Source organism: Homo sapiens, chromosome 7 (genome assembly GCF_000001405.40).
Source record: "Homo sapiens chromosome 7, GRCh38.p14 Primary Assembly".
Lineage (NCBI taxonomy): Eukaryota > Metazoa > Chordata > Mammalia > Primates > Hominidae > Homo > Homo sapiens.
In genome coordinates this window covers 133,163,861-133,191,624 of record NC_000007.14, presented here as the reverse complement: position 1 = coordinate 133,191,624, position 27,764 = coordinate 133,163,861, and the positions used below count along the sequence as shown (strand labels likewise).

Genomic DNA, 27,764 nt, shown 5'->3' with positions numbered 1-27,764 from the left:
AGCCATTTGCATTCACTCTCCCTGGTGCTCTTTCTCAGACACATTTTCCAAATCACACAGACTCGGCCCTCCAGTGTGTGGGGACATGAGCAGGGTGCAAACACCATGGCTCATCTAGCCCAACCTGCTTTCACATACCAACAAGGTACCAGCAGCTCTTCTAGTTTTCTTTCCCAATTCCACTTTTCTCTGGACAGTTCTGGGGTACACATACTTAGACACGCCCTCTCTCCTTTTTTTCTGTACTAGCTATGTCTCTCTTTTTCTTTGTCTCTTAATTTTTAAGAGCTTATATTTTATCATGGCTTAGCCTTACAGTTTTAGATTACAATCTAAGTATAAATGAACAAATAAAGATATTTTTTGTTGTTGCAAGCAACAGAACTCTAACTCAAACTGAGTTTAGCACAAAAAGAAACCCATTGGTTCTCACGACGGAAAAGTCCAGAGTTTTGGGTATGGCTGGGTCCAGAGGCTTGAACCATGTCAAATCAATAGAATTCCATTTTCTTCTCTCTCATCTGTATTAGCATCATTTTCAAGTTGTTCTCCTTATAGGAGCTCCCAGCAGCTTCAAGCATCTACCATTCTTTTATTAATAGCTAGAAATATCTGCAAGAGTTTACCTGTCCTAGTAATTCCAGTGCAAATCACAGGACTGAATTATATCACCTGGCTTAGATCGCACTCCCAACCAATCAGTGTAGCCAGCAGAATGGAATCTTCTGACTGGCCATGCTTGGGCCACATACCAATTTCTGGAGCCATGGGTGGGGTCAGTTCTCTCAGAATGACACTGACTGGGTGTAGTGTTATAACCAAGAAGGGGAAATAAGTCCTGGGTAAGCAAAAGCAATCAATGTCCACCACATAGCCTTTCTCCTCTTTTTTTTTTTTTCCTTTCTCTGCATCCCTAGAAACTTAAGGCCCTTGTCTCTGCTTTTCAGGAACAACTTCTCTTACCTACAGTTTCCATTGGAAAATGAGTTTCTCAGTTGCTTGTCAATCTAAATGGTGTGCTCCTCATTCCCTGCCCTCCTTTCTCTGCTCAGAGCTTTTGACCTAAGTGAAAATATTCCCTTCAACATTGGTTTCCTGCTTTCAAGATGCTTCTGGGGTCTGCTCAGTCCATTTTCTCAGATTCTGGTTACTTCTACTTTCCTTCACTTACATCACAGCATTCTGCACCATTCTGCTGCCCATTCCTGTATCTCTCTCTCTTCTTTTGAGATAGGATCTTGCACTGTTGCCCAGGCTGAAGTACAGCGGCATGAACATGGCTCACTGTAGCCTTGGACCTCCAGGGCTGAAGAATCCTCGCACCTCAGTATTCCTTCAAGTAGCTAGGACCTCAGGTGTACATAACCACACCCAGATAATTTTTAAATTTATTATTATGTAGAGACAGGGTCTCACTATATTGCCCAGGCTAATCTTGGACTCCTGGGCTCAAGTGATCCTTCCACCTTGGCCTCCCAAAGTGCTGGGATTACAGGTGTGAGCAACCCCACCTGGCCTCCCATGTCTCTTAATGCTTCCCTTTGCACTATTCTACAAGCATCTTTGAGCTAACAGGCCTACAGGGCCTCTAACCTGCAAAACATTGCTGACTTCAACATATGAAAACACAAATTACTTGTGAAACTACTGCCGTCAAATACACAGTTTTTTTTTTAAAATCCACAGGAAGTTGGGAGGTGGGAAATTTACTGTGATGGGTGATAGTAAGAATTACAAAATTCTTGCACGTGGATAAATGTATGGAATTTGCTTTGAGTTCCAGGGGTCAGCAATTTGGTGGCATGAAAAGTATCCTGGGAGATTATGGCAAAAATCCTAAATTTATATGCTGGGCTTTCTTTTCCTCATTAAATATGTAATGCTGAGGTTGCAAATTTGGATGACTACAGAAACCTAGCGGGTTGACATAAATGAGGACAGCACCAGGTGGCAGACGATGGAGATTGATGGAGACTGTGGTGAACTGGAGCATGCATGGCCCTGCTACTGGTGGTGTGCAGTGGCTAACAGCACAGATCCTGGAACCAGACAGACTGAGTTCAAATCCTGCTTCTGCTATTTCTCACTGTGTGATCATGGTCTAAATATGTGATCTCTCTGCACCTCAGTCTCCCATCTGTAAAATGGGCTCATCACTAGCACCTGCCTTCTAAGGTTATTGTGAGTACTAAATGGGTCAATATATATAAAGCATCCAGAATGGTTTCTGGCACATGGTAGGAATGGTATAAATGCTGGCAATTATTATTTCTAAATTCAGACAATTGTTTTCATCCAGGAATGTGTGCTATCTTGTAAGCTCTTCTAATATTTCAGGATAAGCTAGAAATGCACTTTTTCATGTTAAGTGTCCTGATTGTATGTGTTTGAGCTAATTGAAAAAAAAAATTAAATCACCAAGAAGGGTATATTGGTTAGGAATGCATTCAGCTTCAAGTTATTGAAAACCTACCTTACAGTGGCTTAAACAAATATATATATATATATATATTTATATTTTTTGCATAAAGAGATTTCTGACATAACCACTTTGGAAAACTGCTTGGCAGTGCATATCCTATGACCCAGTAATCCCACTCCTAGGTATATACCCAACAGAAAAGTGCACATGTGTTTATCATCAGACTGTTTAAGAATGTCTATTGGGCCGGGCACAGTGGCTCATGCTTGTAATACCAGCACTTTGGGAGGCCGAGGTGGGCAGATCACGAGGTCAGGAGATCAAGACCATCCTGGCTAACATGGTGAAACACTGTCTCTACTGAAAATACAAAAAAAAGCTGGGCATGGTGGCGGGCGCCTGTAGTCTCAGCTACTCGGGAGGGTGAGGCAGGAGAATGGCATAAACCTGGGAGGCGGAGCTTGCAGTGAGCAGAGATCACGCCACTGCACTCCAGCCTGGGTGACAGAGCAAGACTCCATCTCAAAAAAAAAAAAAAAAAAAAAGAATGTCTATTGATAACCAAAAACTGGATAACACACAAATGCTCATCACAGGTAGAATGGATAAGCAAATTGTGATATATACACACATGGGTTACATATGGGATAAAGTAAAGACAATGAATAAACCACAACTATCCACACCAGTATGGAAGAATCTCACTAGCATTGTATTGAGCAAATAAAGCCAGACACACAAAAATACACACCCTACACTTCCACTTATATAAAGGACAAAAATCAGGCCAAACTCATCAATGATTTTAGAAGCAGGAAGGGGCTGTCCTTGTGGAAGTAAAGACTGCAAGAGACCACATTAGGGGGACACTGGGGTGTTGGCCGTATTCTCTTTCTTGATCTGAGTTCTGCTTACCTTGGTGTGTGCAGTTTGTGAGATTTCACTGAGCTGTGCATTTATGGTAGGCGTCTTTTCTGCATGCATATTATAGTTCAGTAAAAATATTTAAAAGGAAGAGGAAGAAGTCCAAAAGCAATGGATCTGGTATTGACTCAGGTCCCAGTTCTTTAAATATCTGCGTTCTACAACCTTCGGTTATTGGCTTTCATCCTTAAGCCTTTCACTGCATGTGGCTATGACCATACTCCCAGTCATGTTCACCTTCATGGCATGAGGAAGGGGCCGTGTCCCTTTTTATCAGGAAAGCAAGCTCTTTTTTAGAATTTCCCCTCACCCTAACCCAACAGTCTTTCATTTACATCTCAAAGACCCAAACTGGATCATGAGGCCCCTCTTAGTTGCAAGAGGGCCCTGTATAGTGGGAGGGGTCAAGGAAGAGATGTCTGAGAAAGGTGTCTGCATAATCTATCAATAGTGTCTGCCACACAGGCCAAAGGAGATACATTAGCAAGTCAGGTGTAATGGTTGTTACTTCTTCCTAGATCCATATACAAGGGTGTTTCCTTGTGTGTATTCATGGGTAGAACATATCAGATTAAATTTAAGACACGCTTTTGTGATTAACATGGCTAATTGCTACACTGCCTGACCTGATAAATCAGGCTCAGCCAAAGTGTTAAGTCAGAGAGGAGACTGGGTTTGAAGGTGGTTCACAGTGATAGGAATTTTGTGAGATTTTCCTTTGATTAAATAAACAATGAAATGCAGGACTACTCTTCTTAAAACCATCTGTGACTAGTCAGATTTCTGACTATAAAAGAAGTTTGTGCCTAAGTAAAGGCAGGCCTATTCTTGATTTGAACACTGAACACCCCTCCCCCAAATCCTAACTGGGCAAACATTTCACAATAAAATCTAGTGAACCAGTGACATGAGGAGTAACATCAAAAACGATGAAACAGAGGGGTGTCTGGTGGCTTTTGAGGAATAACATAAAGGGTTAAATGGTGATATCTTTTTTATTTGAGACAGAGTCTGCTCTGTTGCCCAGGCTGGAGTGCAATGGCGTGATCCCAGCTCACCGCAACCTCCGCCTCCTGGGTTCAAGAGATTCTTGTGTCTCAGCCTCCTGAGTAGCTGGGACTACAGAGGTGCACCACCATGCCTGGCTAATTTTTGTATTTTTAAAGTAGAGATTGGGTTTTGCCACATTGGCCAGGCTGATCTCAAACTCCTGGCCTTAAGTGATCCGCCCACCTCGTCCTCCCAAAGTGCTGGGATTATAGTCGTGAGTCACTGTGCCCAGCCTAGGGGTTAAATCTTGGTAGTGGATTTGGGGACTGTAATTAAGGTTGTTGAGCTGCTAAACCAATTGGAAATCATTATCTCCGCCAGGCCCAGACTGTCCACCAGGAAGAACTTCTTTTATTGCTGAAGCCAATTCACAACATACAGATTTTTCTTTTCTTTTTATTCAATCTCCTTCCCCTCAGAGGCTTTGAAGTGCAAGGCTTGATCACACGGCCTAATTGTTTAGGTATTTAACCCATATGGCACTTGGCCCCCAAATGGATCACAAGGTTATAGAGTGTGGGGTTCCCTTTCTTTTCCTTCCTTCCTTTTTCCTCCTCCTCCTTCTTCTCACTCTTCCTCTCCTCCTCCTCCTTCTCTCTCTCTCTTTGAATATTCTGTGCACTGTTATATACCCAACAAATACTTAGCCATTGACTGGTTGTCTGGGAAACTGGCTTGATGGATGAATGAATGAATTCATTTTTCATGCTCTTGGGATATTTGCATTCTGGAAGATGAAGATGGCATGAGTGAATGCTTGCAGACCCTACACAGTCCAACATCAGTTTTCTGACACTGTGCAGTGACACTGTGGTTAAAGTCATGGCTCTGAGATCTGTCTGAGGCCAGACATTTACGGGCTTGTGGGCTTATATCCCAGTTCTGATACTCTGAAGCTGTGAGACTTTAGGCAAGTTCCTTCTGAAACCTGAAACCTTCATATATGATTTCAGTTTAGTGGTCACCAGTAACATCACTGAGTCTGGCTAGTTAAATAACAGAAGGAAACTTATTCTCATAATACTGAGTCATTTCAATTAAACAGCCAAGTGAAGAGCCTAGGCAGGCAGGGCTGCACTGGGGAGCTAGCAGTAGAACACTTGGTCTTTGTTTACTTTTTTAATGGGGTAAACATAATATAAAATGTTGCCAGTGTAACCACTTGTAAGTGTACAATTCAGTGGCATGAATTACATTTACAATGTTGTATAACCATCACCACCATCTTTCCCTAAAACTTTAAAAATCATCCTAAACAGAAACTCTGTCACCATTAAGCAATAATTTCCCATATTCCTTCTTTTCTCCCACTCCCTGGTAATTTCTAACCTACTTTCTGTCTCTATGAATTTGCCTATTCTAGATATTTCACATAAATGGAATCATACATTACCTATCTTTTTGTGTCTAGCTGATTTCACTTAGTATAATGTTTCAAAGGTTCATCCATGTTGTAGCATGTGTCAGAATTTCATTCCTTTTCATAGCCAAATAATATTCCATTGTCTAGATAGGCCACATTTATTCATGTATTCTTCTGTTGGTGGATACTTGGCTTGTTTCCAGCTTTGGGCTATTGTAAATAATGCTGTCATGAACGTTAGTGTGTAAGTATCTAAGTCCTTCTTTTCCATTATTTTGGGTGCATACATAGTAGTGGAATGGCTGGGTCATGTGGTAGTTCTGTGTTTAGCTTTTTCAAGAACCAGCAAATTGTTTGCCACAGTGGCTGCACCATTTCCCATTCCCACCATCAAGGTACGAGGGTTACAGTTTCTCCAGGGACATGTTCTTCATCTGGATTTCTGCCATCAGTGGGCACAGCCCCACATCTGTGCACTCTCACTTCACATTTCTTGGAGACAGAATGTGACTGACTCACCTTGGGTTGGGTCAGGGGTTTGTCCATGTATCAGTTGGCAATGGGGGGAGGAGAGCAGGATCACAAGATCCAGATGTGGTCGCATGGGGGAGAGACTGTGAGAGCTGAGCAGTCAACCCAGGAGCTTTGTGCAATACTCAATTTCTTCTTTTCTGAAATGGGAACCATCATACCTGATACAGTGTACCTGTGAGGATTAAACAAGAGAATGCACGTACAGTTCTTAGGAAGTCCCTTGCACTCAAAAAGCAAAGGGCAGTAGTAGCAGCCATGGTTCTGAGAGTGGCAAAAACGACGATTTGTATCAAGCACAGCTATTCTGTCAAGTGTCAAGTAGACCTAGCTTTCCTATTACAAAGGAAACCTCTGTTGTAGATTTATAGGTCTTGAATTTATCCAAAGCAATTTTTGAACCTATTTCTATTTTCAGCCTGTATTGCCTGCAGGGGCAACATGTTTCATTTCTTTACTACCTGCTTTGTCGAGTAGTAATTTGTTGTATTTGTCCTAAAACCACCCCTTTCAAGCTCCTAAGACAGCTTCTTGTGTCTACCTCTGTAGTCCCTGAGACCTTCACCACGAGAACCTGTTCACATTTCTGAATTCAAGTGGATGGGAGCATTTGGACAGAGTCCAAGCTTTCTTCAGAGTTGCATTCCAAATCACGTATTTCCTTTGCATATCTTCATAGACAAGCTTATAGCCTTTTAAGCTTTATTAAAGTGTCCAAGTGCAACACTTCTTTACAGTGTTTGCATGTGTTGCTGTCTATGAGGACAAGGCTGAGTTGCTGCATGACTATCTTGAAACTGGGTTGGTGTCATCACCCTCTGTAACTCTTTTTCTTGTCACCTGTCACCTACCACAGGTGATTCAAGCTCATGCCTCAATAAAGTGACAAATTATGTTACCTGCCTTTGTAGTCACTTTGATCACAAACCAAAATTTACGGATGCAAGAGTCTACTGATTCAGAATTTAGTTAACACATGCGTTTTCTTACCCTCTTTATTCCTTTTATAATCAGGGGTATATTTATGGACATCTGAAAAGAGAATTTTCTGTATATCAAACCGCAGAGATCTGACTCATGGTCTTCCTTGGACTCCACCAACTGAGTTAATCACATTAACCCCAACTCTGAGAAATGCTATTGTGGTGTGACCCATATGGGACAACTGTATATCTGCCCCATATATAGCCACCTTCCAATTATCTGCACAAATGCAGGGGTGCAGTGGTGCAGATAATTCAAAACAGCACACAACTCAAATGCCATTTCTGCTTGGCTTGAGAATACATTATGCAAATTTGGGGCAGCAAATTTGCCTTCTTTATTACATTTTGCTTGTATTCATATTAAAAATTGTTTGCATTCTTTATGAGTGTGTATATATTTGGGGGAGGGGGTAGAAATGGCATCCCTAGAGTTCAAAGGAATCATAAAACCTTGGTACTCAAAGAAGTCTTAGAAATCTTAATGCAAATTCCTCCTTCATTTTTTTTTTTAGAGAAAGCAACCAAGATCTAGAGAGGTGATGTGACTTATGGGAGACCCCAGAGTAAACTGGTGGCAGAAGAAAGACCAGATCCAGCCCTCTGACTCCCTCATTCCAAGGGAAGATCACACACTATCAATCAGAAGCTGACTGAGTGCTCTGGCATCATCAGTACAAACTTGTTAGTGCCTCTCAGGGTGAAGCCATATGCAGTCTAACTTCTGGAGGCACAGAACTTCCTAAGAAGGCTGGATCAGGAGACTCCACCTCCCTGTGGACTAGACAACAGCTCTTCCCCTAAGGCTACCTAACAGAGCTGGCGGGCTCTGAGCCTTCTTGCCATGTGTTGTTGGGATTTGAATTTCTTGGCACCAGCCCAGAGCTCTCATGGAGGTTCACCTGAGTTCTGAGTGAGCTGGGCATAAGGAATTGCTGGGAGGCCACAAACACTGGAATTAGTAAATCGGGGAGTGTGGCAAGGGAAAGCAGTTATAGGCACCATGCTTCAAATCAGGACACCAGACGCATACGCCAGGCTGATGGGTAATCTGGGACCTGGCTGCCAGTGAGTTAAGATGACCTTGAAATAACAGCTAAAGAGCAAACATGAAGCAAATAGGCAGGCCTCCACCTCTGGCTAACCTCCCCGAGAAGCACGGAGCTGAGGTTGCAGCAAAGACATTCAGGAGATCAGCCAGCCAGCAAACGTCAGCTCAGGCATGTCTGGGGAGCTGGGCGGCTAGTGGGGACCGTAATGCCGGGTTGCTACAATCTGCATCAACTTTCAATCCAGCCTGTGGCAGCCATGCCAGGGGTCACGAGCAGCTAATGACTTTTTGTAGCCTGGAGCTGGCTGGCAGGCATTTCCTGAGCATTACTGTGTGGGCAGGTGTTGGTGCCTTGAGTCCTCTTGGGGCAATTCAGCAGACATCACTGGAGCACCTGGAGGTGCTCAGAGGCTGGCATGGCCTTGGAGGCTGAAAATGGAACCCAAAGATTGAGGAGATGCTCTGGACGGGGATACAGGAAGGGTTTGCTTTGAGCTCCCAGGACGGACAACTCGGATCCATCAACACCACTCACATGTCCTGAACGCTCTTCTCTTCTGCCAAGGATGAAGATAAATATTTACCTTTGAATGCAGAATAATGTCTGAAGCTACATAATGCGTGAAAGGCCTTCCTTTTAATCAGGGATGGATTTCATTAATGTTTATTCTTTCTGGGCAAAGCCTTTTTCTCTGCTGATAGCAACTTCCACTTGGAACTACTGGGGTTACCGATAATAACAATGTTACAACAATACAATAGACTACTAATGATAATACATAATTTAACTTTATGAAATGTTAACACTGATGAAGTAGTTTGCATAAAATTTCCTATTTAATTCTCACAATAGTCATGTAAAGTAGGGAAGAGGTTTTTTTGTTTTTTTTTTTTTTTTTTTTTTGAAACAGAGTTTCGTTCTTGTTGCCCAGGCTGGAGTGCAGTGGCGCGATCTCAGCTCACCACAACCTCTGCCTCCCCTGTTCAAGTGATTCTCCTGCCTCAGCCTCCTGAGTAGCTGGGATTACAGGCATGTGCCACCACGCCCGGCTAATTTTGTATTTTTAGTAGAGACGAGGTTTCACCATGTTGGTCAGGCTGGTCTCGAATGCCCGACTTCAGGTGATCCGCCCGGCTCGGGCCTCCCAAAGTGCTGGGATTACAGGCGTGAGCCACCGTGCCTGGCCTGGAAGGGTATTTTATTATCTCCATAGTATCAGGGGTAAACTGACTTACACAAGCACACAGTGCAGTAGAAACTTGAATCCAGTTCTTAACATTCTTTTCCAGGTTCTGTGGCTCTCCCTCCAAATGCCTGGGAGGAAAGATGAAATGTCTCACTTAAAAGACAAAGTGGGAGCTGTGAGCTCAACCCTACAGCTCAGCAGAATGCTCAGGGCATGGAAGGCACAGCAATGCTGTTTTGAACTCTTCTCTAAATTGCACCTAGGTGTGGATTGAGGAGCCTGTGTAACTAGCTTACAGAGGTCATAGAACAGGCAGTTGCCTCCACAGGGCAATTTGAGGGTCATGAGACCGAAGTAGAAAAGCAAAATTTTCAGCCCTAGCCAGACTGACTGAATCAGAAACGCTGAAGGTAGATGGCAGCAATCTGTGTCTTAACAGGTCCTTCAAGTAGTTCTGATGCACGCTAAAGTTCCAGATCCACTGGCTTAGACCAGGGGCTCAGCAAACTTTTTCTGTAAAGGACCAGATAGTAACTCTTTTAGACGTTGCGCACCACACACACTCTGTCAAGATTATTAAAGTCTACCATGGTAGTGTGAAAGCAGTTGTAGAGAATATGTAGATGAATAGCTGAGGCTGTGTTCCAATAAAACTTTATTTAGGCTGATCAGGACTCACTTAGTTAATAATACGCACACCGATGTGAGTATACCTACAGAGTAAATTCCTGCAAGCAAAATTGATATTTTTTCACAATGCAATATGCTATTTTATGCAACTTTAAGAAGTCATTATTTTATGACTTATCCCTGGTCAAAAATATCTAGTAGTAGAAAGACACCTAGGTGAGCTGTTTCCTGCCCCCCCTTTTACGTTTTTACAAAAGTGTGTTCTTTTTTATGTTGTATCACTTAGGTTCTGCTGCATGACAAAGTACTTCAAAGCTTAGTGACTTAAAACAACAACCATTTATTATTGTTTCTGTTTCTATGGATCGGCTGGATAACTCAGCTCATCTGGCTCGAGCTTGGCTGAACTTGACTGGGTGCTAATGTGTCTGGGGTCAGCCAGTGGATTTGCTGGAGGTTCCTGGTGTAGGATGGCCTCACTCACATGTCTGGAAGTTGGCAAGCTATTAGCTGTGGTGACAAGGGTGACTGGGCCAGACTTCTCTCATAGAGACCAGCTTGGGATCTTTCACATGGTAGCTAGTCTGGGCTCTAAGTGAACTCATGAAAGCCCACAAGGTCTCTCGAGGCCTATGCTCAGAACTGGCACAAAGTTACCTCCACCGTATTTGGCTGGTGATACAATTCACAAAGTCAGTCCGAAGTCAAAGGGTGGAGAGCTAGACTCTTCCTCTTGAGGGAAGGAGTTGCAAAAGCATACTGCAAAGTAATGTGGGTTCAAGGAGAGGAATAATTACAGCTGTTTTCAAAATCTACCATAGAGATTTTTTATTGTTTAACATTTGGCTTTTAGAAAATTCTGAGAAAAACTGTGTTGATCATGAAGCTAATATAGACTAGTGCACAGCACTTTGGGGCTTCCTATCCCTACTGGTACATCTGGGAAAGAAGGTCTTATGGGTCTTCATGATACACCCAGTACAGTGAGAAGAGGCCCAAGGATGTGGGATATTTTTTAGTTTCATTTGACAATCTGTAAAGCTAAAACTACTTTGGAAACCATATCCTTCCTTTCTCTCTCTCTCTCTGAGAGATAATGTACGTAAAATAAAATTCATCCCTTTTAGCATACAGTTCCATAGGTTGACAAAAGTACAGTTGTTCCACCCCCAGCACAACTGAGAAATAGACTTATTCCATCACCTCAAAAACTTTTTCCAGAGCCCCTTCAGAGTCAACCCCATACCCTACCTCCAGTCCCTGGCAACCACTGATCTGTTTCCTATCCCTATAGTTCTGCCTTTTCTAGAATGTCATATAAATAGAATCACGCATTATACAGGCTTATGGAGCTGGCTTCTTTCCCTTAGCCTAATTCATTGAAGATTCATCCATGTTGTGGCAGGTATCAGAAATGTGTTCCCTTTTATTGCTGAGTAGTTCTTCTGTTTGTGTTCTTTCAAATTACTCTTCAGGAAGTTAACCTAGGCCAAGTTCAGATGTAGGTTCTAATCACACAAACATTTTCTTTTCCAGTCTACAGCTACTGTACACACATTTCCTTCTCTAGTCCAAAGTTTATGGAATTAGCATAAGAGCAGAAAAAAAAGAAGCATATGCAGAAAAAAGCATTTATTTCTTTAACCTGTTAGTTACTTTTCATACTTCCCTATTTCAAGAGGTTTCTTTCCTTTGAAATTTTCAATAGTGCCCTTTTTTTTTAGAACAAAGTTTTTATTTTTTATAGGAGACAGGGTCTTGCTGTGTCACTCAGGCTGCAGTGCAGTAGTATAATCTTGGCTCACTGCAACCTCCACCTCCTGGGCTCAAGCAATCCTCCCACTTCAGCCTCCTGAGTAGCTGGGACCACAGGTGTGCACCACCATGTTCAGCTAATTTTTCTTCGTATTTTTAGTAGAAATGGGGTCTTGCCATGTTGCCCAGGTTGTTCTCAAGCTCCTGAACTCAAGTCATCCTCTTGCCTCAGCCTCCCAAAGTGCTAGGATTGTAGGTGTGAGACACTGCACCCAGCCAATAGTGTCTTTTATAGCTAAGAAAAACATTTAAAGATCATATCATATAATCCCGTTATTATTTTTAAATGAGTGCTTTCATCAAATTATCACAGGTAGACAATTTTTAAAAATCAAACAGGGCTATAAACCTTATAACTAAAAAACACAGTCCCCTGTCCCACTATTTCTTGATTTCCCACATGCCAGCTCCTTCACTTTCAACCCTTTTATTTCTTTCTTCTGGTTTCCACATTTCTACATCATGTGCTCCTACCGTTAATGTTCAGTTTATCCATTCTGATATTTTCTATTGATTTCATATTATGTGAAAATATCTAGGTTTCTTACATACCCCTTCCCCCTCCCTCCAGACTCCCAGTATGGTTGAACCACAGTTTAAGGTTGAATGTACATTCGTATTTACATTACATTATTATGACTGTGCAAAGTTTGTTCATTCATCTGCCAAGTAGTATACTATGGTTGTTTCCTTTCTTGGACATTTTATTCCCCTGGTGTTAATGATTGCCTTATATTTTTCATTTTCTGTTTTTATTTTTTTTGGTGGGGGGGTGCTAAATATCTAATTTTTCTTCCAACAACCTTTCAATCCAGTTTTCTATGCTGTTTTTCATGCCATAACACTCATCAGATAATCAATCAGTTTATTCTTTCCCCTTGAACCTCCCATTCTCTTGCTCCAACTTGACAGTTGCTCTCTGGACTTGCTGCTCTCTGGGCTACCTGGCCTTTGCCATCATTCTAATAATTCTCTTTATCTCTCTCTCTCCCCTGTTTGACCCCCAATTTCCTGCTCCCTATCTTTTTTTTGTTCTTGTTTTAATCCTTTCTGTGGAGTACATTTTATAGTAGCTTCCTGAAAATGGTAATGAGGAGTAATATGTGTAGGTTCTTTTCTACAGGCAAATGTCTTTATTTTACTCTCATCGTTGGTAGTTTGGCTCGATATAGGTAGATTATGGTTTTCCTTAGAATTGTAAAGACATTTTCCCACCTATCTTTTAATTTCCAATAATGCTTTTAAGAAGTCCAGTTCCATTCTGACCACTGATGCCATTCTGATCTGCACAAGGTCTTTCTTTTTATTATTTATTTATTTTTTATTTTTTATTTTTTATTTTATTTTATTTTTTTAATTGATCATTCTTGGGTGTTTCTCGCAGAGGGGGATTTGGCAGGGTCATAGGACAATAGTGGAGGGAAGGTCAGCAGATAAACAAGTGAACAAAGGTCTCTGGTTTTCCTAGGCAGAGGACCCTGCGGCCTTCCGCAGTGTTTGTGTCCCTGGGTACTTGAGATTAGGGAGTGGTGATGACTCTTAACGAGCATGCTGCCTTCAAGCATCTGTTTAACAAAGCACATCTTGCACCGCCCTTAATCCATTTAACCCTGAGTGGACACAGCACATGTTTCAGAGAGCACAGGGTTGGGGGTAAGGTCATAGATCAACAGGATCCCAAGGCAGAAGAATTTTTCTTAGTACAGAACAAAATGAAAGGTCTCCCATGTCTACTTCTTTCTACACAGACACAGCAACCATCTGATTTCTCAATCTTTTCCCCACCTTTCCCCCTTTTCTATCCCACAAAACTGCCATTGTCATCATGGCCCATTCTCAATGAGCTATTGGGTACACCTCCCAGACGGGGTGGTGGCCGGGCAGAGGTGCCCCTCACCTCCCGGATGGGGCGGCTGGCCGGGTGGGGGGCTGACCCCCCCACCTCCCTCCAGGACGGGGCGGCTGCCGGGCGGAGATGCTCCTCACTTCCCAGATGGGGTGGCTGCCGGGCGGAGGGGCTCCTCACTTCTCGGACGGGGCGGCTGCTGGGCGGAGGGGCTCCTCACTTCTCAGACGGGGCGGCGGGGCAGAGGCGCTCCCCACATCTCAGATGATGGGCTGCCGGGCAGAGACGCTCCTCACTTCCTAGATGGGATGGCGGCCGGGCAGAGACGCTCCTCACTTTCCAGACTGGGCAGCCAGGCAGAGGGGCTCCTCACATCCCAGACGATGGGCGGCCAGGCAGAGACGCTCCTCACTTCCCAGATGGAGTGGCGGCTGGGCAGAGGCTGCAATCTCGGCACTTTGGGGGGCCAAGGCAGGCGGCTGGGAGGTGGAGGTTGTAGTGAGCCGAGATCACGCCACTGCACTCCAGCCTGGGCACCATTGAGCACTGAGTGAACGAGACTCCGTCTGCCATCCCGGCACCTCGGGAGGCCGAGGCTGGCGGATCACTCGCGGTTAGGAGCTGGAGACCAGCCCGGCCAACACAGCGAAACCCCGTCTCCACCAAAAAAATACGAAAACCAGTCAGGTGTGGCGGCGCGCGCCTGCAATTGCAGGCACTCGGCAGGCTGAGGCAGGAGAATCAGGCAGGGAGGTTGCAGTGAGCAAAGATGGCAGCACCACAGTCCAGCTTTGGCTCGGCATCAGAGGGAGACCGTGAAAAGAGAGGGAGAGGGAGACCGTGGAAAGAGAGGGAGAGGGAGAACGTGGGAAGGGGGAGGGGGAGGGGGAGAGGGAGAGGGAGAGGGAGAGCTGCACAAGGTCTTTCTTTCTGATGTATTGAAATGTTACAATGATGTCCGTTGGTGGGGGTGCTTTTTATTCTTTGTACCAACATTTTAGGGCTCTTTTAATCTGGAGACTCATGTTCTATACTTTTCTTGAATTATTTCTTTGATAATTTCCCCTCCATGACTTACTTTCCTTGTTCTCTCTGGAATATTCATTAATCAGATGTTGAATCTCTTGGTTTGAACCTCTAAGTTTCTCCTAAGGTTTATCTCCTTGTTTCTTTGTTATACTCTGTGGGAGATTTCTTTTCTTTTCTTTCTTTCTTTTTTTTTTTTTTTTTTTTGGAGACAGGGTCTTGCTCTGTCAGTCACCTAGGCTGGAGTGCAGTGGCGTGATCTCATCTCACTGCAACCTCTGCTTCCTGGGATCAAGTGATACTCCCACCTCAGTCTCCAGAGTAGCTGGGACCACAGGTGCACACCACCATGCCAGGCTTTTTTTTTTTTTTAAGTAGAGATGGGGTCTCACCCTGTTGCCCAGGCTAGTCTTGAACTCCTGAGCTCTAGGGATCCCCCTGTCTTGGCCTCCTAAAGAGCTGGGATTATAGGCATGAGCCATGTATTACAGGATCTTGGACCCAGCCAGTGTGGGAGATTTCTTAAACTCTTTCTTCTACCCCTTCATTGAAAAAACATTTAAAAGTTTTTGTTTTAATATTTAAAAAATTTTTTTGAGACAGGGTCTCGTTCTGCTGCCCAGGCTGGAGTGCAGTGGTACAATCACAGATCACTGCAGTCTTGACCTCCTGGGCTCAAGCAATCCTCCTGCCTCAGCCTCCCAAGAACCTGGACCCAGAGACATGCACCACCATACCCAGCTAACTTTTAAAAAATTTTTGTAGAGATAAGGTCTCCCTATGTTGCCCAGGCTGGTCTTGAACTCCTGGGCTCCAGCAATCCTCCTGCCTCAACCTCCCAAAGTGTTGGGATTACAGTTGTGAGCCACCGCACCCACATCTGTAATTTTTAAGAGCTCCATTTCTCTTATTATTCTTTATATAGTTCCCGATCTTTTCCTATTGAGCTAATATTTTCATTATTTCTAAGAATATCAATTAGATTTAATTTTTGAAAATATTTTTTTGCTACCTACCTTGTCTTTGTTTCTTCGTAGTTCCTTTTTTTCTGTGTGTGCATACATATGCACACATTTGTGTGTGTTTTAGAGTCTTTTATATTGGAAAATTTTTTCTTAAATGTCAAGTGATCCCTGGTTGTCAGTTCATATTTAAAAAGGAGCCATCAAAGAGCTGATTGAAAATTCCATTTGTACGGTTGAGCTTGTTGGTTTCATTGTAGATGAGTGGAGTAGCAGGCTGCTTGATTTTTATTGGTAGAGTTCACAACTATCTGTATCTCTAGGTATTTCTCTTGGATATTCAGTTATTCTGGAGAAGAATTCTACAATTTGCTCTCTTTGGGTAGAGGGTGGTGGGAAAAGGAGGCGGCCATGGCGATAAGGCTGGTTCCCTGTGTTCTGGAAGCTGAGCATGCAGGGAGGGTCTCACTATTCACTTTACACTTGATCTTTTTTAGCCTTGTGCCTATTACCTGCCTTTCACTGGGCTGGGGTTCCCGAGTCTGGAGCTCCACTGGTTTAATTCTTCTTGGTATAGATTATGTGAGGGGTAGTCACCTGGCCGCTCAGGAGAGGGTGGGGTATTCTCTGCTCCTCATATAGACTTCTAATAAATCTCTCAACTTTTAGCCCTTTTCTTAACCCTCACTTCCTGTGGCATTTAGTGTCTTAAAAATCCTGTCATTGGCCGGGCACAGTGGCTTATGCCTGTAATCCCAGCACTTTGGGAGGCTGAGCCAGGCGGATCACCTGAGTTCAGGAGTTCGAGACTAGCCTGGGCAACATGGTAAAACCCTGTCTCTTCTAAAAATACAAAAATCAGCCGGGCATGGTGGCGTGCACCTGTAATCCCAGCTACTTGGGAGGCTGAGGTAGAAGAATTGCTTGAATCTGGGAGGTAGAGGTGGCAGTGAGCCGAAATTGTGCTACTGCACTCCAGCCTGGGGAAAAGAGCAAGATTCCGTCTCAAAAAAAAAAACCCCAAATCCTGTCATTGGTTGGATGCAGTAGCTCATGCTTATAATTCCAGTACTTTGGGAGGCTGATGCAGGTGGATCACTTGAGCCCAGGAATCTTAAGCCCAGCCTGGGCAACTCGGTGTAACCCTGTCTCTACAAAAAAATACAAAAATTAGCCAGGCATGGTGGCATGTGCCTGTAGTCCCAGCCTCCTGGGAGACAGAAGTGGGAGGATCACCTGAGCCTGGGAGGTCAAGGCTGCAGTGAGCTGTGATTGTGCCACTGCAATCCAGCCTGGGTGACAGAATGAGACTCTGTCTCAAAAAAAAAGAAAAAGAAAAATTCTGTCACTAATTAACAATACAGGCTACCTCCACTCTGCTACATCATTTTTTAAACTCTTTTATTTATTTTCATATAAATATTTCCTAATTTCATGGATTATGAAATTTGCAGGTTTTCTCTCATCATCCTTGTTGGTTTGGGGTAATTTCCTAAAAGGAGCAGGGGCAGAAAAAAATCTTTTCACTACCATCTTAAAATGGAAAAATCTCTGATTGCACATTTTATTTTATATTTTATTTTATATTTTATTTTATTTTATTTTATTATTTTATTTTATTTTATTTTATTTTATTTTATTTTAGAGATGGAGTCTCACTCTGTCACCCAGGCTGGAGTGCAGCAGCACGATCTTTGCTTACTGCAGCCTCTGCCTCCCAGATTCAAGTGATTATCCTACCTCAGCCTTCTAAGCAGCAAGGATTACAGGCACCCACCACAAAACCTGGCTGATTTTTATATTTTTAGTAGAGACAGGATTTCACTATGTTAGCCAGGCTGGTCTTGAATTCCTGACCTCAGGTAATCCCCCCAGCTTGGCTTCCCAAAGTGCTAGGATTACAGGCGTGAGCCACTGTGCCCAGCTTGCACATCTTAATTTTGACAAATGTTCTCATACTGCCCTCCATAGAGTTTGCACCAACTTATGTATAACAATGTAAAAAAGCATGCACTCCCCATGTCTTAACCATCTTAATTATTAGCTTTTAAATTTCATCAATCTTAGGGAAAAATGGGGGTAGCATAATTTTAAGTACAGCTTTTGTAAACGGTGGTAAGATCCCATTAATCCTAAATGTAGTCGTTCAGTAGATACACATCTTTGCATACAAATGTTAGTAGATAAATTACTATAGATACCTCTTGGGAAATATCTCAAAGGGCTCACCTTTCTTACAGTGTCAGAATAGTAGTATTTATATGTAAGAGATTGCCCATGAGTGGGCTTGTTCATATTCAACGAAAGGGCCCAGGGAAGTGAAATCTCAAGAACTCTGGATTCTGTGCCTTATTCTCTAGTTTGCCCTCTTAGAGTTTTCACCCAGGGAGACAAGTAGAGGTGATGGGAAGGTATTGGGAGACTTATCCTGAATTATGCTTTCTTCTCAGGTTCCTGACTTCTTAGTGCTTAGATTTACACAGTATGTGTCCTCTAAGCTGTTCAAGGTGCTATATAATCTCTTTGACTTAACAGTTCATAAACATCACAACATCTCAGCTGTCAGACGCAACGCTAAAGGGAAAAATTAATCCAAATCTCTGGGCGACAGTCACAGAGGGTTGTGGAAGGAGATATTCAGAAGGGAAGAACTGATTAGGAAGTTATCTGTTCTCATGTTTGAGAAATGAGAGGCGATTGGACTTTCCACTGAATGACCAATTCTCCTCCATCCAGGGTCCTTGTCTAGCTAGGAAGATAAAGCACCAAAGACACCAGTGGAAGGTTTATAAGGGAAATCTGCTATATTTCAGCAAACTGAGAACACTAAATTGTGAAGACATTTTGCTAATATATGGGAGACCTGCTCCTGCTTCTTTCCCTTTTACTGACATTTTTGCGGCAGCTTTTCCACCTAATTCACATCTGTGGGTAGCTCAAGGCTATGGTTGGGTTGAGGAAGGAATCTCAGTCCAGAAGACAGGTTAAGGGATTAGCTACACAAACAGCATGGCAACAGCTCTTGCTTTTGTTTTATTTTATTTTATTTTATTATTATTGTTTTAGAGATGAAGTCTCATTATATTGCCCAGGTTGGTCCCGAACTCTTGGGCTCAAGAGATCCTCCCATCTCAGCCTCCCAAAGTGCTGGGATTGCAGGCATGAGCCACCGCTCCCCATCATATTTTATTTTACAGGCTTAACAACTCTATCTTGTATTCTAAGGGTTACTCTCCTCAAAGATTTAAATGGGTCTGAAAAATTATAAAAACAAACAAAAGATAAGGCTGTTCGCATTTAAAGTTGATTTATCATTCTGAACCTACTTCAGTGCATTTCATCACCCTTATCAAAAGGCAAAATGAAAATACACCTCTTTCTTCCTTGACACCAAATGAGAAAACACAACTGTGGACTCTGCCAGACTTTTCCAGGTGGAGCATAGGTAGGGATATCTGCCTTGTATCTCAGTGAAGCTTCCAGGCATTATTTTTAGTTGCCCTAGTGAAAGCTAACACCTGTGGGTCTCCAATGCCATACTGGGTTTCTAGCTTATTTAGGAGACACCAGCAATTTCATTAATAAAGTTTTTTGTTGTCACTTGACAAAGGAACAATACACTGACAGACTAAGCCCATGATAGTTTCTATCAATCAAGCACTTAGGGAAATCAGAAATGACAATGAAACCCACTGCATTAAACAACCCATGGTGCTGGGAGTTAATCAGAAATCTGGTGTTGTTGAAAATAAATGAGTTTTTAATAAATTAGATTTGAGAAATACAAGTTGTGGATTAGGAGTCTATGCAGAGGCAGCTTCTGATTCATTGGGAAATCCACAGGGGGCAACTGCTACTAAAGTTGACGGGAAAATATGCTTGTCCCTCGGGAGAGAAGAGAGAGAAGGTTGTTCAACTATGTACTTCTCTGTTGCCCATTCCTGCATTGGCAGGCCAGATCATTCCTTGAGGCCCTTTGATATTCAACAAAGAAAAATTTGTCTTATATAGGCTCTTACACTCTCCACCTGCTTTCCGTCTTAGACTTAAATTGCCTGAAGTTTTAGAGTAAATTATTTAAAGTAGGATGGCACTCAATTTCATGATTAAATTAATCAATTTATTTTGTTTGGAGACATTCAATTAATAACCTACAATAGGCATTGTACCTATTCTACTCTACCTGGTCTGGTGTACCTGGCCCCTGGGACCCTAACAGTCAGTTAGATTTAATTAAAGGTAACACACCGAGTGACTACTATGTGTGAGATATTATGGTGAGTATTGGGAATACAAAATTGCCAAAGCTCCCCCAGGATCTTAGAATCTTATAGGGGAAACTGGATTTGATTGCAAAGCAAGGTGTTCTGAGTGCTCAGGTGAAGTTATAAATTGCTCTAGAAAAGCAGAGGAGGGCCAGAAAATTCTAGTTTAAGGGGTTTGGGAAGGCTTTCCAAATAAAGTAGAATTTAGTGGATGCTAGAGGACTACTAACTAAATCACAATTGCTGAGGGAAGGGTTAACAGCATTTTAAGCTGATGGAACAGTAGGGACAAACACTAAGAGGGAGTCTTGAAAGTAAAGGACATGTTTGAAAATTGTAATTCATTCATTTATCCCACAAGCATTGAGCGCCTACTCTAATTCAGCAAGTGCATAATGTAGTTGCTGACCTGAAGTGCAACGTCGAGGTGGGAATATTGGAGGGGGTAAGGCAAGGGAAAAGTGTAGGACTAGAGTCTGAAGGCCCATGTGTTCATAAGAGTTTATATAAAATGTATAGTTTTATTTTGTTTAATGTTGTTTTCATAAATGGGGTTATACTGAGCCTATTCTTCTGTCACTTTTTTTTTCACTTAATATGTCTTAAAGATATTTCTATGTCCATACCTGTAAGATTGTCTCTCTTTTTTTTTTTTTTTGGAGAGAGAGTTTAGCTCTTGTCGCCCAGGCTGGAGTGCAGTGGCGTGATCTCAGCTCACTGCAACCTCCACCTCCCGGGTTCAAGAGATTCTCCTGCCTCAGCCTTCTGAGTAGCTGAGATTACAGGGACCTGCCACCACATCCGGCTACTTTTTTGTATTTTTAGTAGAGATGGGGTTTCACCATGTTGGCCAGGCTGGTCTCGAACTCCTGACCTCAGGTGATCCACCCACCTCGGCCTCCCAAAGTGCTGGGATTATAGGCATGAGCCACCGTGCCTGGCCAATTGTCTCATTTAAAAAAAAATTTCAGCCCCTTCTGCGCAGTCACGCCGAGCCAGCGCCTGGGCCTGGAACCGGGCTGCAGCCCCCCAGCTTCGCCCACCACCTCCCTACCATGGACCCCCGCAAAGTGAACGAGCTTCAGGCCTTTGTGAAGATGTGTAAGCAGGATCCGAGCGTTCTGCACACCGAGGAAATGCGCTTCTGAGGGAGTGGGTGGAGAGCATGGGAGGTAAAGTACCACCTGCTACTCAGAAAGCTAAATCAGAAGAAAATACCAAAGAAGAAAAACCTGATAGTAAGAAGGTGGAGGAAGACTTAAAGGCATATGAAACATCAAGTGAGGAAAGTGATCTAGAAATTGATAAAGAAGGTGTGATTGAACCAGACACTGATGCTCCTCAAGAAACGGGAGATGAAAATGCGGAGATAACGGAGGAGATGATGGATCAGGCAAATGATAAAAAGTGGCTGCTATTGGAGACCCAAATGATGGTGAACTCCAGAAAGCCGTTGACTTATTCACAGATGCCATCAAGCTGAATCCTCGCTTGGCCATTTTGTATGCCAAGAGGGCCAGTGTCTTCGTCAAATTACAGAAGCCAAATGCTGCCATCCGAGACTGTGACAGAGCCATTGAAATAAATCCTGATTCAGCTCAGCCTCACAAGTGGCAGGGGAAAGCATACAGACTTCTAGGCCACTGGGAAGAAGCAGCCCATGATCTTGCCCTTGCCTGTAAATTGGATTATGATGAAGATGCTAGTGCAATGCTGAAAGAAGTTCAACATAGGGCACAGAAAATTGCAGAACATCGGAGAAAGTATGAGCGAAAATGTGAAGAGTGAGAGATCAAAGAAAGAATAGAACGAGTTAAGAAGGCTCGAGAAGAGCATGAGAGAGCCCAGAGGGAGGAAGAAGCCAGACGACAGTCAGGAGCTCAGTATGGCTCTTTTCCAGGTGGCTTTCCTGGGGGAGTGCCTGGTAATTTTCCCAGAGGAATGCCTGGAATGGGAGGGGGCATGACTGGAATGGCCGGAATGCCTGGACTCAATGAAATTCTTAGTGATCCAGAGGTTCTTGCAGCCATGCAGGATCCAGAAGTTATGGTGGCCTTCCAGGATGTGGCTCGAACCCAGCAAATATGTCAAAATACTAGAGCAACCCAAAGGTTATGAATCTCATCAGTAAATTGTCAGCCAAATTTGGAGGTCAACGTAATGCCCTTCTGATAAATAAAGCCCTTGCTGAAGGAAAAGCAACCTAGATCACCTTATGGATGTCGCAATAATACAAACCAGTGTACCTCCGACCTTCTCATCAAGAGAGCTGGGGTGCTTTGAAGATAATCCCTACCCCTCTAACCCAAATGCAGCTGAAGCATTTTATAGTGGTTTGCCATTACGGTATTCATTCAGATAATGTTTTCCTACTAGGAATTACAAACTTTAAACACTTTTTAAATCTTCAAAATATTTAAAACAAATTTAAAGGGTCTGTTAATTCTTATATTTTTCCTTACTAATCATTTTGGATTTTTTTTCTTTGAATTATTGGGCAGGGAATGTACTTAGGTATGGAAGATTACTGCTCTAATTTGAGTGAAATAAAAGTTATTAGTGCGAGGTAAACATAACTCATTTGAGGATAAAGTTTGTGTTGGATATGTAGTTTCTGATGCATTTTGACTTGTCTTTTTAAATGCTTTATCTTTTTCTTTAAAGATTTATTTCAATAAAACTAACTGGGACCACCCATATTTCAGTAGGACCTGGGTAGGGATTGGAAGTACTTGGCAGGGCAGCAGCAATCTTGCTGTGTTTGATATAACATGCATCCTTGGGCAGGTTGCCCTTAAATCTTACACTGTGGTGAAGGGATGATGTTTTTTGTAATGCTGCAGTAGAGTTGGAGTACTTAGTTCTCTTGTTGTCCAGTATATCTAATAAGTGTTTCATATTATTTCCACGTAAGGGAAATAAGGGAGTACTTTTCTTTTTATATTTCTATGCTTAAAATTCTCTTTCCTAGTCAAAAATTGCCCAACTCTGTGTTTGCTTTCTGCTTGTTACATTTTTCTCCCTTACTTTTCACGGGTGAAAGACAGGCTTTTTCCACCAGCATCATCACTGCTATCATCATTAACAACATAATTATACAAGCATATTTAATGCTGAGTTTAATTTAATATGTAATACATATGGTAATTGTAGGGTAATACCCACAACAACTGTAGTTTCTTACTTGGCCAAGAGAATGCTTATTTAAGTGTTAGACTTCCATTCTGGCAAAATCTTGCCATATCAGAAGACATTGGAAAGAGGGATTCCCTTTGGTGTTTGCTCTTCTACTTAGAAAATACCTATTGCAGTTAGTTTATCTTGTAGTATTCATCTTTGTATTCTGAAGATAAGGTTTGAATTAAATTGATATACACAGAAGGGAACCAATTTTTTTTATCCGATGTGAATTATAAATGAGATAATCCACAGTTATTCATTGTGGAGTTGTTGAGACTATGAAAGACTCATTGTCTTTGTATTCAGCTCTTAAATAGTGTAACCATATCCCCACCTCTGCTTGCTTTCTTTCCCTCCCCTCCAATGATAAAGAAAATGACAAATTTTCAAAAAAAAAATTTCAGTATCATATAGAGAGATGGATCATAATTTATTTAATCATTTTCCTATTAATATTTAAATTAGAGAAAACTATCTTAAGTACTTTCTTTCATGAAAACAGATCAGCCCAAGTGTGATTACTATGTTGTAGAACTTTTTAAAGGAAGATATATTAGAACAAAGATCAGATAATATCGTCAATCAATCAATCAATCAGTATTTGCAGAAGACTCTTTCAGAGTCATGTCAGAAAAGACATACTGGATTCAAACTAGGTAATTGAGAAGAGTTTCGTTAAGTTAAGCTAATGAAGCTTACCAAAAGCACTGTTTAAAAAGAATAGGCAGCCTTTAGGGAAACTCACAAGGGATACTGTCAGTTCCCACAGGCTAACAACAGCAGGAGCTGTCACTACCTCTAGGCCAGACTGGAAAGTAGGGAGAGTGTTGACTGCAACCTAAAGCAAGTGGCTGTACAGAGAAGCAGCCAATTCATCATGACCAGGCGAAGAGGGATTCACGATAAATGTGCACCTTGACCTCACTCCCCTCCGGGCTGTTATCTCTCATTTGTGTCTTCCGTTGGCCAAACGATTTAGCAGCCAGTGGGCAAGGTGATGCCATTCACAGAGCTCAGCCTCCCAGGGCAAAAACAGGAAGGAGAAGAATGGAGAGAGGATCTGGAGGTGCAACCAGAAAATCTCTAGTACAAGGACCAATTAGGAGTTATCAAAATGTTTCTATCGAAACATTAGACTGAAGGATGGGGAGTGTCCATTGAGAATTTCAGAATGAGTATCATCAGGAAAGAAATTAACTATTTTTGAGAGTCAAAAATAGGACTTCTAGTGATAGATATCCCAATTATCCTGTTGTAATGTATACATTGTATACATGTACCAAAAAAACACATGTACCCCATAAATATGTACAACTATTAAACATCAATTAAAAAAAAAAAACAGGATTCTTCTACAACAGATCTGTTGTAGAGGAACTAAGTTTGGAAATGTTATATTGAAGATGGATTCCTGTTGTGCCAGGGCTCCCAAGTGGGAAAATTGCTTCCAGTTCAGCCAGCATTTAACTGCCTTTTCAGCTGACATGAATATGCAAAGGAAAAAAAAGGCCACTGACAGATCCTAGCGTGGCTTGGTGAATAGGCATTAATGGACAATCACAGTTTGGACAGACTGAATTTTCAAGTGCTCCAGGTATTAAAACAGGTATTAAAAAGCAGGACATTCTACAACATATCTGACCAGTCCTCCAAAAAAAGCAAAACCTCTACATCTCTATCTTTTTTTTTTTTTTTTTTTTTTGAGATGGAGTCTCGCTCTGTCACTCAGGCTGGAGTGCAGTGGAGCAATCTCGTCTCACTGCAACCTCCGCCTCCTGGGTTCAAGCGATTCTCCTGCCTCAGCCTCCTGAGTAGCTGGGATTACAGGCGCCCACCATCTTGCCCGGCTAATTTTTTGTATTTTCAGTAGAGACTGGGTTTCACCATACTGGCCAGGCTGGTCTCAAACCCCTGAACTCAGGTGATCCACCCACCTCAACCTCCCAAAGTGCTGGGATTACAGGCGTGAGCCACCATGCCTGGCCTACATCTTTACCTTTATTCTTGACTTTTCTCCTGAGTTCCAGACTCAGATTTTAATTGACTGTTGAGCACCATTTCTATGTTAAATTTAGTATGTCCCACTCATGCCTCTCTAAACCTGTCCCTGACTCCAGCACCCCTCAAACTATGCTCTCCTTCCCCTGCCCCTAAGTTTCTTTCTTTCTCTCACCTTATGCTATCAGCCATTATTTGAAATTTTTTCTTCAACCAGGTTGTTAGATCCTTCTGTACCTTCCACAATGTCCTGTGCCAAGCCTGTCCACCTCTATCTAGCAGAGAAATAGGAACCTTTTCTCCAAAAACAGATCCATTCCCGAGACTGACTCTAATTTGTATCCACTTAGTTATTCTCAAACCATTCAAATTTTTAGCCAATAACTTACTATATTGTAAGTTATTTGAGGGCAGGGACCATGTTTATTTGTCTTGATGTGTATCCTGGTGTCTCATATTCCGAGGAAAGAACTTAATACCCAGTGAGAGTCCAGTGGCTACTGCATATGTTTTTGCTGTCATTGTTAATTGCGTCTGGTGAGTAAACCATGTCTCAGCTAGGGCACCATCTAAGCTTACTAGACAAAACCTCTGTGGAAGAACTACGTTTGGAACTGTTATATGAAAGATGGATTCCTGTTGTGTCAGGGCTCCCAAGTGGGAAAATTGCTTTCAGTTCAGCCAGCATTTAACTGCTTTTTCAGCCGACATGAATATGCAAAGGAAAAAAAAGGCCACCGACAGATCCTGGTGCAGCTTGGTGATTAGGCATTAACAGACAATCAAGTTTGGACAGACTGAATTTTCAAATGCTGAAGGTATTAAGAAAAGGTACTAAATTGTTCTGATTTCATTGAAATGGCTGTTAGACAAGACTGAAAAATACATGATTATAACTCTCCCTTGGTGGGTCTTTTCCACCTTCATTTGAAAGAAGTACAGCAGCTCATAAAGAACAGCAACTTCCTTGCAAGCCAGAGGGCTTAATGAAGAATTAAGTACATTGCAACCTTGTAGCTGAAATAATAGAAAGAAAATTGAATTATTCTTCCCATATTAAATGCATATATTCCTGCCAAAATGACTTTGCTAACCCATGGAGTGAAATACACTTTGTTTTCACATGAGTGCACTAAACAAAGCTGTGGGCTCTACTACAACTGCTTTGAAGGGAACGGAAAGTATCAGAATGAAAAAGCACTCTCGATATATGGTTATATCAGCCCTAAATTGTATCACAGCTGCTTCTGGCACCATTAGACAGAACCCTGGGTAATTTATAGAAGTCATTTTTAACAATTTGATTGTTGGTATATATCTGCTGAATTGATTGGTTGTGGAGACAGATCTTTATTTTTATAATGCAATAACATCCTTTGCAGATTACTGCTCAATTTATTTCTGATGCTAACATAACCAACTAGAACCTATCAATTTATATCAGAAAAATGTGTTCTTATTTCTTAATTATCTGCTTAATTGTAGGGAAACTAGAGTCCTGTGATGCCCTGATTTGTCAACACTAGGGAGCCTGCCAGAGTCACTGGAAGTCTTGTGATTTGGTTTCTAGGCAACTTTTGTGATACTCACAACTTTTACTGGTGCATAAGAAGGCACTTGTGTCCTGATACACGGCCGGCAGCACCACCTGCTCTTCTGCACCCCAGCCGAAGTCTCTGCAAGCCAGTAAGTGGCTTCTCCACTGACCTACTTCCCTGCTGATCTAATCGCACCAGCTCCAGTCATCAAGAATCCTGGTGATGACCCTCCAGCAGGTGTCCCCTGGCCACCATGATCCCTTCTGGAGTGTGACTGGTGGGAAGGCAGGGCTGCCCACCAATTGAGTTTTATGAGCACCATTACTCAACAGTCAATTAAAATAACTCCGGCCGGAGTTATTTTGTGGTAGTTCCCTGGAATAAATGATAGGCCCCATTTCTGACCAATGGGTCGGTTCAGTTGGCAAAAATGGAAATTCTATACATTTAGCCAGTTTCCTCTTCACCCCAGCCACCACAACTGAATATATAAACATAAATCTATGTAGGAGATGTGCATTCATTGGTGACTGCTATAGTTAAGTCATGTCATTCATATTCACCCTCTCTTTTTATTGTGAGATTTTCTTTATTATTTTTAATGTCTTAAAATATACATAGTATAAAATTTATCATTTTAACCATTTTTTAAAATATATAGTTTAGTGACATTAAGTACATTCACATTATTGGGCAACCATCACCTCCACCATCCGTGTCCAGTAGTTTTTCATCTTCACAAACTGAAACTCTGTAACCCATTAAACAGGGGTCCCCAAACCCCGGGCCACAGACTCGTCCATGGCCTGTTAGGAACTGGGCCAGTGAGCGTGACCACCTGAGCTCTGCCTCCCATCAGATCAGTGGCAGCATCGGATTCTCATAGGAGCGTGAACCCTATTGTGAACTGCGCATGTGAGGAATCTATGTTGTGAGCTCCTTATGAGACTCTAACTAATGCCTGATGATCTGAGGTGGAAGAGTTTCATCCCA

At 42.4% G+C, this 27,764-nt stretch overlaps 1 pseudogene, besides 2 other annotated features; it reads left to right on the top strand.

Moving 5' to 3' along the window:
- Window positions 8,065–9,024: an enhancer, noted in NCBI's record as "H3K4me1 hESC enhancer chr7:132867359-132868318 (GRCh37/hg19 assembly coordinates)". NCBI's record gives its function as "activates a minimal SCP1, AML or CMV promoter by ChIP-STARR-seq in primed H9 embryonic stem cells {active_cell/tissue: H9 hESC(primed)}" and the evidence as "EXISTENCE:reporter gene assay evidence [ECO:0000049][PMID:30033119]".
- ST13P7 (ST13, Hsp70 interacting protein pseudogene 7) lies at window positions 21,027–23,623 on the top strand (annotated as a pseudogene).
- Window positions 26,438–26,487: a silencer, noted in NCBI's record as "silent region_18669". NCBI's record gives its function as "represses an Ori minimal core promoter by ATAC-STARR-seq in GM12878 lymphoblastoid cells {active_cell/tissue: GM12878}" and the evidence as "EXISTENCE:reporter gene assay evidence [ECO:0000049][PMID:35858748]".